Source organism: Homo sapiens, chromosome 1 (assembly GCF_000001405.40).
Source record: "Homo sapiens chromosome 1, GRCh38.p14 Primary Assembly".
NCBI classification, from domain to species: Eukaryota; Metazoa; Chordata; class Mammalia; order Primates; family Hominidae; genus Homo; species Homo sapiens.
In genome coordinates this window covers 246808124-246820394 of record NC_000001.11, presented here as the reverse complement: position 1 = coordinate 246820394, position 12271 = coordinate 246808124, and the positions used below count along the sequence as shown (strand labels likewise).

At 46.8% G+C, this 12271-nt stretch overlaps 1 annotated feature.

Annotated features, from left to right (window-relative positions):
* Positions 4442-4491: an enhancer, noted in NCBI's record as "active region_2861". NCBI's record gives its function as "activates an Ori minimal core promoter by ATAC-STARR-seq in GM12878 lymphoblastoid cells {active_cell/tissue: GM12878}" and the evidence as "EXISTENCE:reporter gene assay evidence [ECO:0000049][PMID:35858748]".

The window sequence follows — 12271 nt, the reverse complement described above, 5'->3', positions numbered from 1 at the left end:
ATAAAACAAAACCTTAGCCGACTCACGTCTGTGGCTCCCTTTGCCACCCTCTTCTGCCAAGGCTGTGGCTCTATTCTAGTCTTAATCAACTTGTTTTTATTTCTGAAGAATATTACTTCGTTTTTAAATTGTTTTTTTACACAGAGCATAGCCTCTTACTCGCCCTAGCATACGAGACCCAAGACCAAATTTTAGATTCACTGAACGCTGGTGACATTTTCAAGGTGGAGTGTACCATTAACATAATTAGCTTTAAAACATAACAGGAAAATGTCAGCAAATGCCTATAAGCATAGTTCATGGTTCTGCTTTCTTAAAATGGTAGGACTGTTTAAGCTGGTGTTATGAAAACGCAATAGAGCATTATTTTTTATCTTATTTTTCTGATGTTAATGGTAACATGTTCAAGTTAGAGAATTTTATAATATCACCTAACTACCATTAACATTTCAGTACATTTCTAATGTTTATTCATTTAGATTTTTATATTTATATTTTGTAGAGACTGGGGTCTTGCTATGTCACCCAGGCTGGTCTCAAACTCCTGACCTCAAGCAATCCCTCCTCCTTGGCCTCCTAAAGCTCTCAGATTACAGACATGAGCCACTGTGCCCAGCCTCTAATTTTTAATTCAAATATTTTCAAAGGCATACAAGTCTAGTTTAAAACCTCAAATAGCCAAGAGAAAGAATATGTCCACACAAAAACTCGTACATGAATTTTCCACGGCAGCATATCTGTAACAGCCACGAGGTGGAAACAGCCCAAACACCCATCCACTGATGAACAGTTGAATAAAATTGGTCTATCCTTACAACGGATGATTCAGCCTTAAAAAGGAATGAAATTCTAACACATTACAATGTGGACAAACCTTGGACATGTCATTCTAAGTACAAGAAGCCAGAGAAAAAAGACCACACACTGTATAATTCCATTTGAATGAAGTTTCCAGGAGAAGCAAATCTATAGAGATAGAAAAGAAATTGGCAGCTGCCTTGGGCTGGATGTTGTAGGGAGGGGAGGGGAGGGGAGGGGAGGGGAGGTGTTACAATGGCTTGCTTGTTTTTGCCCTTTGTTTTTTGAGACACAGTCTTGCTCTGTCGCCCAGGCTGGAGTGCAGTGGCGCGATCTCGGCTCACTGCAACCTCCGCCTCCCAGATTGAAGCAATTCTTGTGCCTCGGCCTCCTGAGTAGCTGGAATTACAGGCACACGCCACCACGCCTGGCTAATTTTTTTTTGTATTTTTACTAGAGACGGGATTTCGCCATGGCCAGGCTGGTCTCGAACTCCTGGCCTCAAGTGATCCGCCCGCCTCAGCCTCCCTAAGTGCTGGAATTATAGGTGTGAGTCCCTGTGCCCCGCTTTTTTTGCCCTCTTAATGGCACCCATCTCCCCAACTTCCCAAACAAAGGCCTTGGATGTCAGTCCGCCTGCCTTGACCCTGTGCCCCCCCCACCCCATGGGCGGCCTCCCATTTTTGCTGTGTTCCTCTGGTGATGGGAACTCAATGTGCTCACCAAGCAGCCCCGGTCATCAGAAAGCTGTGTCCCTGAAGCCTTCCATCTCCCGTGCAATTCCCACAACACGCATGCGCGCGTACACTGTCATGACGCAGCGTTCTGGGCAGGGCAGAGCTGGAGCCGGCGGGTAAGGCGGTGGGGCTGGGACTGCGGAAGCACAGGGCACCTGAGCAGATCGTTCACTCCAAGGGGTCAGGAGCCTCTCAGGACAGTCCGCGTTGGGGGCACTTGGCTGGCCCCTCTGTGCTCTCCACCGAAAAAGTGACTTGATCTTTTGTAAAAACTTGTTTTTAATTTTGTATAAAATAAAGGTGGTCCATGCCCACGGGGGCTGTAGGAAATCCAAGCAGACCAGCTGGGGTGGGGGGATGTAGCCTACCTCGGGGGACTGTCTGTCCTCAAAACGGGCTGAGAAGGCCCGTCAGGGGCCCAGGTCCCACAGAGAGGCCTGGGATACTCCCCCAACCCGAGGGGCAGACTGGGCAGTGGGGAGCCCCCATTGTGCCCCAGAGGTGGCCACAGGCTGAAGGAGGGGCCTGAGGCACCGCAGCCTGCAACCCCCAGGGCTGCAGTCCACTAACTTTTTACAGAATAAAAGGAACATGGGGATGGGGAAAAAAGCACCAGGTCAGGCAGGGCCCGAGGGCCCCAGATCCCAGGAGGGCCAGGACTCAGGATGCCAGCACCACCCTAGCAGCTCCCACAGCTCCTGGCACAGGAGGCCGCCACGGATTGGCACAGGCCGCTGCTGGCCATCACGCCACATTTGGAGAACTTGTCCCGACAGAGGTCAGCTATTGGGGGCAGGAAGGAGGCAGGGTCAGGGTGGAGCTGGGTGATGGGAACCGCTGCCCCTCCCCCAACCCCCCAACCACAGTACGTTCCCCCCCATACTCCCCAACCACAATACGTTCCCCCCATATACTCCCTACATTTAGGACAATGCTTATTATAACATTTGGTTAAATCAATAATTGTTAACATCTTATTATTTTTTCTTAACAGTTTCTGCCTCAGGATTTAATTGTTAACAGTTTAACTGCACAAGTATTGTTCACTGCTGCAGCAGATAATGCATACGTCCTTTCCACATTTTATTTTTCTTGGAATTTTTAATTGCCATTTTAATTAGGTTTACTTTTCTATAAATCTTTCTAAGTGCTCCAAATCACTGTCACATGCCTATTGACAAATCTCCATACACTCAAACGTGCTGGTACCATGATTTTTGGGGTCTCCCTCAGCAGGAGTCCTCAATTCTCCTACTACAATTTTATTAATTCTATTGGCACAATTTGGGGTACTGTTTCTACAGGGCTACCTCAACACTGTCATTCTGGAACTTGACTTCAACCTTCATCTTCGTTGGCTCCCCTGACTCCTGGATCCAATGTATTCTTCTTTCTTGATTTACTCTCTTTTTGCTGCAATTTCCTCAGAAAAGGTGCATCCAGAGTACTTTTTGGTTCATCCTTTGCACAACTGAAAATATCTTTTCGTACCTCCACACGTGATTGACATTTACCAGGAATGGAATTCTGAGAATATTGAAGGTCTCCGTTATATTTTAAGTTCTAGTGTTGCAGCTGGGAAGTTGGCTACCATTCTGACCCCCGGTTCTTTGTATGCAACCTTTTTTGACAGTCAGTTTATCTCTCGCAGCCTTCAGGGTCTTCTCATTATCCTTGGTGTTCTGATGTCTTAATGATTCTTTTTTCATTTATCATGCTGGACACTTGGTAGACCTTTTTCAATCTGGAGATTCCTGTCCTTCAGTTCTGGGAAACTTTTCTTATATTATTTATTATTTCATCTCCTGTATTTCTTGTTTTCCCTTTCTGAAATTCCTACTAATTGGATTTTGGGCCTCTTGTACTAATGTTCTAATTTTATGATCTTTTACAACCTATCTTGTATTTCTTGGTCTTTTCTTTTCTGAAAGAGATGGAGCCTCACTCTGTTGCCCAGGCTTGTCTTGAACTCCTGAGATCAAGGGATCCTCCTGGCATCAGCCTGTCAAGTAGCTGGAATTCCAAGTGTCAGCCACCACTGGTCTTTTTTATTCTGCATTCTAGAAGATTCCCTGAATGATATTATAACTTTCCTGCATTTTTATTTCGGCTGTCATTCATAAATTTAATTTACAAGCACTTTATTTTATTCTCCAGCTGTTCTTTTAAGTAAAATGCTCTTTTTTTCCATGGGTATAACTGGGTATCATTCTTTCTTTGAGGCTATTACTTCTAGGGCTTTAAAAAATATTTCTATGCTGAGCACGGTGGCTCATGCCTGTAATCCCAGCACTTTGAGAGGACGAGGGGGGCATATCACTTGAGGCTAGGAGTTCAAGACCCGCCTGAGCAAGACGACAAAATCCCGCCTCTACTAAAAATACGAAAGTTGGCTGGGCGTGGTGGCGTGATCCTGTAGTCCCAGCCACTCGAGAGGCTGAGGCAGGAGAATGGCTTGAGCCCAGCGGTTGAGGCTACAGTGAGCTGAGGTCGTACCACTGCATTTCCAGCCTGGGCGACAGCAGAACCTTGTCTTAAAAAAAATAAAAGAAAAGAAAAGAAAGAAAAATTCATTGCCTTTTACTCTCTCAGTCTGTTTTCTGAGTTCCTTCTTTCTACTTGTTTGCTTTGACCCCTCTCTCATATTGGAGGCTTTCTCTGTCTGCTAATGCTTGGCCCTTTGCTCATTTTTAAACATGAGACACTCTTACATGGATATATTACACATAGAAAATAAAAATAAAAAACATGAAACACACAGAAGCTAACAGGAAGCTCTGTGGCTGCACGGCCTGACAAGCAAGACTTACTGCGGGGTGACCCACAGGCAAGCCAGCTTTTTCTTGGGGGAGGTGGGAAAACGCCAGTACTTGAGGTCTTTGCTCTCGACTAGAGCCATTCGGAGTCCCCCAGTCCTGCTTAAGAGGTGCGAGCTTGGCTAGCAGGAGTCCAAGAGCATGGGAGGGTGGAGACCAGTCTCTCTACATGTGTTCAGGTTGGGGCATGAACATGAAAGAACCGCCTTTCTCTGTCCCCAGTCGAGACCAAAACACATATACTACTGTTTTGTATCTTTTTGTTGTTGTTGTTTTGAGATGGAGCCTCACTCTGTCGCCCAGGCTGGAGTGCAATGGCACGATCTCAGCTCATTGCAACCTCCGCCTCCCAGGTTCAAGTGACTCTCCTGCCTCAGCCTCCCAAGCAGCTGGGACTGCAAGCACCCGCCACCCTGCCTGGCTAATTTTTGTGTTTTTAGTGGAGGCGGGGTTTTACCATGTTGGCCAGGCTGGTCTCGAACTTCTGACCTCAGGTGATCCGTCAGCCTCGGCCTCCCAAAGTCCTGGGATTACAGGCGTGAGCCATCGCGCCCAGCCTATATCTGTTTTTAATTATAGTAAGAACTTCCTCCATATCATTATTTGAGAACCTCATATTGCACATTGAAACAGAACTTTGCTTTATTTAGTATCAGCTTTTTCCCCATTATTCAACATTTATGTTGTTTCCCTATCACTTCTCTGCCCCCAAAATAACTGTTTTGAGAGAATATTTACTTTGTATGCTCTTCTCCATACAGGTTATGTTCAGTATGCTAGAAATTTACAAGGAATAGGTAATAGAGATGTTTCTGACATGCAAATCTGGGCGACTCTGAAGCTCAGTGAACCTCTGGGACTCACGGTCACCTGTCCTGCCTGTAAACTCTGGCCCGGCCTCAACCACCCAGCCCCACCTACCTCTCCAACTTCATCAACGTCCCCTTCTCTTCACACACGGAACCGTTCCTCCTTTCCAGAGCACGTTCCCCTTTCTCGCATCTATCCTTTCTCGGCCTGGAGCACCGTTTCTGCCTTCTCTGTCCTTAAAGACACCACTAAACATCCAGCTCAAGGTCAGCACCTCGCTCTGAAGCAGGTAGCTTCAGTCGGCATGACACTGTACAGGGATTGGCAAACTTTACCCGAGGAGGGCCAGGTAGTCAATAGTTCAGGCTTTGGGGGCCACACTGTCCCTGCTGCAGGCACTCAACTCTGCTGTCATAGTTCAAGAGAAGCCGTAGACGAGACACGAGAAGGTGCAACTGACTGTGTATCAAAGAAACTTTACTTATAGACACTAAATTTGAATGTTACATCATTTTCATATGTCACAAAATAGTACATTTGTTTCAGCCATTTAAAAACGTGAAGAATACTCAGAGCTCAAGGGTCAAAAGCAGGCGGTGGGCTGAATTCGGCTCACAGGCTGTGGTTCACCAGCTCCTGGAGAGTCGGAAGAGGATCTTTTCCAAGCCCACCTCTCCTGTGTACTCGCCGTGTGACTTTGGAAACTCATTTCATCTCAGAGCTCAGTTCGCATTTGCGTAAGGAGAATTTAAAATAAGACGCTACATCTGAAGATGTACTCAATTTTTAAATGTCTAACACTGCCTATCCAAAGCTGGATCTTCAGCATTTTTTTTCATTCTGCCCTTTCCCCTTGCACTTATTACATTGTACTGTAAAATTTTATTTACATAGCTGTATGTGATTTCCAAATAATGATTTCCTTTTGAATACTGTTTCATCTGCAAGGCTTATGCAATATTTAGTCTAGAATGGGTGCTTCCTAGATGTTTGCTGAATGGATAAATTGACAAATGTACCTGTAATTGTAGATTTCTTATGGTCAGAGGCCATATGCTAATAGTTTCAGTGGAACCCCAGAAACTATCCAACGCCCTGGACCTCACTCCCTTTACTGCCGAAGCCCTGGACCTCACTCCCTTTACTACCGGGTTCTCATGGGGAAGAACGGGGGGAAGGACATCTTATCATGGTCCACCTGCTGACACCCACTCATGATGATAATCTCTCTGGAATTCTGCTTTCTTATCTCTGAGTAAGAGAATCGGGGCTGGGTGTGGTGGCTCACGCCTGTAATCCCAGCACTTTGGGAGGCCGAGGCAGGCGGATCATGAGGTCAGGAGATCGAGACCATCCTGGCTAACATGGGGAAATCCTGTCTCTACTAAAAATACAAAAAATTAGCCAGGCGTGGTGGCAGGTGCCTGTAGTCCCAGCTATTCGGGAGGCTGATGCAGGAGAATGGCGTGAACCTGGGAGGCGGAGCTTGCAGTGAGCCGAGATGGCGCCACTGCACTCTAGCCTGGGGACAGAGCAAGACTCTATCTCAAAAAAAAAAAAAAAAAAAAAAAAAAGAAGGAAAGAAAGAAAGAAAAGCAGAGAATGAGAATTGGGCATCCTAAGTTTCACTCGCGCCTGTGTGAAGAGACCACCAAGCAGGCTTTGTGTGAGCAACAAGGCTGTTTATTTCACCTGGGTGCAGGTGAGTTGAGTCCGAAAAGAGAATCAGCAAAGGGAGACAGGGGTGGGGCTGTTTTGTAGGATTTGGGTAGGTCGTGGAAAATTACAGTCAAAGGGGGTTGTTCTCTGGCTGGCAGGAGTGGGGGTCACAAGGTGCTCAGTGGGGGAGCTTTTGAGCCAGGATGAGCCAGGAGAAGGAATTTCACAAGGTAATGTCACCAGTTAAGGCAGGAACAGGCCATTTTCACTTCTTTTGTGATTCTTCAGTTACTTCAGGCCACCTGGATGTATACGTGCAGGTCACAGGGGATATGATGGCTTAGCTTGGGCTCAGAGGCCTCAATCTAAGATCCTTTTCAGACCTCCTTTTTCCATCAGTTCTTTCAGCAGTCAATTAAATAAGGTCTGTTAAATATCCTTCATGTTTTAGACAGAATGCTAGACTCTGAGGATGAATAAAACCTAACACTTGATTCCTGCCCTGGAGCAGCTTAGTGGAGGATGCAGCACTCACTGCAGAAAGTGACACAATGTTACGTGTGCGCAGGAGTGGCACCGAGACCGAGGTGTGCGCAGGAGTGGCACCGAGACCGTGGCCTGGAAGCGGGGATAGAGCTAATACCACCAGGACTGTTCCGTGTTGTTCGCAGAGGAGTTAGGCTGGGCCTTGAAACAGGGTCATGAGTTTGGTGAGGCAAAGAAGCGAGGGTGCAAGGTGCAAATAGAAATAGCAGCACTTCAGGCAGCAGGATAGGTATTTTAAATCATTAACACGTGAGAGTTAGCATTTGTGGGTCAGGTGAGTGCCCTGTGTCGGGGGAGGGGGTATGTGGTCGCTGAGGGTAGGGGGAGCATCGGGGGATGAAGCCAAAGATGGCTGCCAAGAAGGAAAGTCCTTTAATGAGCAGGCAACGGAGAACCAAGCAAGGCTTCCGAACGGGGGAGTAAAATAATCAGATCAGTGTTTCAGGTATTTCTCCAGGGGCAGAGTGAAGCTGTACTTGAAGGAGTACCAGATAGGGCAGAGCAGGGGTTAGGAGGCTCTCCATAGCCCAGGTGAGGGACGAGGTTCTGGTGATCTTTTTTTCCCTTTCTTTCCTTTTTGAAACAAGGTCTCTGTTGCTCAGGCTGGAGTACAGTGGCATGATCATAACTCACTGTAACCTTAAACTCCTGGGCTTGAGTGATCCTCCTACCTCAGCCTCCAAGTAGCTGGAGCTACAGGTGCACACTACCATGCCCAGCTAATTAAAAAAAAAAAAAAAAAACAATTTGTGGAGACTGGGTGTCACTGTGTTGACCAGGCTGGCCTCGAACTCCTGGCCTCAGGTAATCTTCCTGCCTTGGCCTCCCAAAGGATTACAGGCAGGAGCCACCGTACCCGGCCCATTGTCACTCTTGATCTCCAGGCATAACTTGGAGGGTGCTGCTGCCAGCAGCAAGTCCCTGTACTTCATTCCATCCAGATAAACCTACTTGCCTTTTTTCTAATAAGCCTTATTCAGTCATATCTTCAGTCTGAGATGCCACTTCCTATCATTTCTATCACTCAGGGGAAATTACAGAAAGGCTTCCTAGCTAAGGCAGCAGTTGTCCCCATTTTGATGTTTTATCTCCGGCACCTTATGTCTGTTATCCTAATTTTGCTTCCCCCAAACTTCAATCTGCAATCTTGGCTGGACTCTAGGAATTAAAGCCACAGAAGCTCGAGCTCGGGGAGAGCTTAGAGATCATTTAATCTGTCCTCCTAGAAGGAGAACACTGGGAATGTCAGAGACTCTCCAAAGGTCTCACATGTTGGAGGCAGAACCGGGACTAAGAAGCCAGGTCTGATTCTCAGCCCGGGTTGCTCTGCACCACGTAACACAGACTGCTCCGACTCTGCCGGGACCCCAGCATGACTCTACTTGGCCTTCTCACCATGGCTTTTTTGAGAGCAAGGGGACATGGGAATTGTCCTAAGGCCCTGGTGTAAGCATCATCACACAAACCTCCCATAATAAAAGCCTAAGAATTACCCAGATTTTCTGGTTTGGTTAGGCTGTTGCAAATACGGGGTTTTTGTTTGTTTGTTTGTTTGAGACGGAGTCTCACTCTGTCACCCGGGCTGGAGTGCAGTGGCGTGATCTCAGCTCACTGCAATCTCCGCCTCCCGGGTTCAAGTGATTCTCCTGCCTCAGCCTCCTGAGTAGCTGGGACTACAGGTGCCCGCCAACATGCCCGGCTAATTTGTTTTGTATTTTTAGTAGAGACGGGGTTTCACCATCTTGGCCAGGCCGGTCTCCAACTCCTGACCTCAAATGATCCACCAGCCTCAGCCTCCCAAAGTGCTGGGATTACAGGTGTGAGCCACCGTGCCTGGCCACAAATATTGTTGAGACTAAGTTTCCCTTGGAAGTAGAGATCTCAGGGCAGTGGTATTTGTTGTGCCATGACTTAACCTAGGCAGAATGTGTCTTCTGCGTATATTAGGTACTTTGAACATTACTAACTTCTAATTATTTTTATTATTTATCACTGTTCTCAGTAAAGTAAGACTTCATTACTTTGTAATACAGAATTTAGAAAGAGGCCATGGTGGTTTATTTTTCTATTATCTGCAAAGGAGTTGCTAATGAAATAGAGTTAACGAGATTGCTAGGAGAATATTTATGTTAATAAGAGAACAATGCGTTCAAGTGCAAAAACGTCAGAAGCACCTATTTATAGACAGACCGCTGTGGATACCTACTCACATGCCTCATCACGCTGCAAAGACAGCTTCCCCGGCCCCCCCGGTGCAGTGAACTAAGTGTCAGGTGTTAGCCCAGCTCCAGTTGCACTGTGCATGCAATGAGCATAGTGCGTGCTCTGCGTCAGGAACTGTGAGGATCCACTGGTAAAAAGACACCCACCCTTAGGGAACTCAGTCTGGTTGGAGTGGTCTAGATATATACCTGACAACAATAAAACTGTATTTCTAAAAGATAATATATATATATTTTTTTACTTAAAAAGAAAAGCCGGCCAGGTGCGGTGGCTCACACCTGTAATCCCAGCACTTTGGGAGGCAGAGGTAGGCAGATCACCTGAGGTCAGGAGTTTGAGACCAGCCTGGCCCACATGGTGAAACCCTGTCTCTACTAAAAATACAAAAAGTAGCCAGGCATGATGGTACATGCCTATAACCCGAGCTACTTGGGAGGCTGAGGCAGGAGAATCACTTGAACCAGGGAGGCGGAGGTTGCGGTGAGCTGAGATCATGCCACTGCACTCCAGCCTGGGCAACAAAAGCAAAACTCTGTCTTGGGGAAAAAAAAAAAAAAGCATGCATCTGACTTCACTATTTACAGCAGTCTTCCTATCCTTTTGCTTGCAATTTCCCTATTTCTTACTTTGCTAAATTATGAAATACCTACAGAAATTTATCCATTCATCCAATAACTATTATTGAGCATCTATATAGGCAGAGATACAGCAGTGAAGTAAACAACAATCCCTGCCTCCCTGAAGTTTATATTATTTGTTCTATTTTCTATAGATAAGAGATTTACTGTCCAGAACCAAAAAACCTGGTGGGCTTAGAATAAGGGAAGATCAACAGCTGGGATTTTACGTGGAAGGCCTGAAGTCGGTGCCCTGTGAGAACTATGCCCAAATTGAAAGGCTGATGGAACAAGGAACAAAAATAAGGACCACAGCTTCCACCAACATGAATGCCAGCAGCAGCCGGTCTCACTTGGTCATCACCATCCAGTTCAAGCAGGTGAGAGCTGAGTGGATGCCACTGTCCCGATCTCCAGACAAGGCCACTCTGCAGAAGGCTACCCCTGGTATAATGGGCTGGTGGGATCTCCACACAAGGCCGCTCTGTGAAAGGCTCCCCCTGCGGGAGGCTCCCCCTGGTGGGATCTCCACACAAGGCCGCTCTGCAGAAGGCTCCCCCTGCAGAAGGCTCCCCTTGGTGGGATCTCCACACAAGGCTGCTCCGTGGAAGGTTCCCCCTGGCATAATGGGCTGGTGGGTATTATAGGATCCTGCAGATTTGACCTATGGATGAAGGTGGCTTTTCCAACCACAGCATATAGAGCCAGAAACAGGAAAAGGGGATGTGTGTGCCCTTCTCCTGCCTCCCTCCCACTTCAATGGTCACACCCCACCCAGCCTAAGTGAGCCTACCAGAGGCCCAAAGTGCCCACAGGAGTAAGAGCTGTTTTCCCTCAAGTATATTCCGGTGCTTGGAGGAATAAGCTTTGACCTCAGTTTGATCAAGGAGCAAATTGTGAAGGTATGAGAGTGTCTCCATGGTTTATCCTGGAGAACTGTATCAGCAGCACATCTGTACATTACCACCATGAGACCAGCCTTCAGACCCACGAGCCTGAGGACCACCAGGTACTGAAGTACCCTTTCCATGTGTGGATGCACCAAGTTTTTTGTTTTTTTTGAAATGGAGTTTTGCTCTTGTTGCCCAGGCTGGAGTGCAATGGCACGATCTCGGCTCACTGCAACCTCTGCCTCCCAGGTTCAAGCAATTCTCCTGCTTCAGCCTCCCAAGTAGCTGGGACTACAGGCATGCACCACCATGCCTGGCTAATTTTGTACTTTTAGTAGAGACGGGGTTTCTCCATGTTGGTCAGGCTGGTCTTGAATTCCCGACCTCAGGTGATCTGCCCACCTCGGCCTCCCAAAGTGCTGGGATTACAGGCGTGAGCCACCGTGCCTGGCCGCACCAAGATAAGTTCTTTGGAACCAAGCAATGCATATAGCATTCCACTAACTAGAATCTTTGATCAACTAGAGCACACTTTGATTCTCCATACCAGTACCTTGGTGGACATCAGAGAGTGATCGCTACAGTGCCACCAATTTGATCTAGAAATGGCTATTCACAAATCCTGGGTCAATGTTACACGTAGCTATGATCCTACCACCTCTGTCCCATAAGTCATAGTACCAGTAATAGAACAGTAATCAATGAAAAGAATCCCGTTCTATGCAGGAATAAGGGGAAAACACGGGACTGTGTTGAAGTCTGGATGCCTCTGTTCACCAGCTCTAAGACTTTGGGAAATAGCCTCTGAGCCTCAGTTTCCTCTTCTGTAAGACGAGACGAGACACTGTCCTTGCAGTAACGTCAGGAAGCTTGAATAAGATAGTGCATTTTAAGGAACTTTGTAAACTTTTAAGTACTAGTCACTTGATTTCACAATGTTAGTACAATTCATCAACTTTATATATGGTTTGTCCTGCTGGTTTTTTAACTTGATATTTTAGAGGCAAGTGAAGAAATAGCTAGGAAAAAAGGAGTGACGAGAGAAGAGAGCTAGCACCGTACTCTGTTTATTGGGGTCAGTAGTGATATTAACACCTGATATTGTATGCCAGGCATGTGCTAGAACCATTACCTCTACGATCTTTAACCCTCATAACATCTCAGGAATGTGTTTC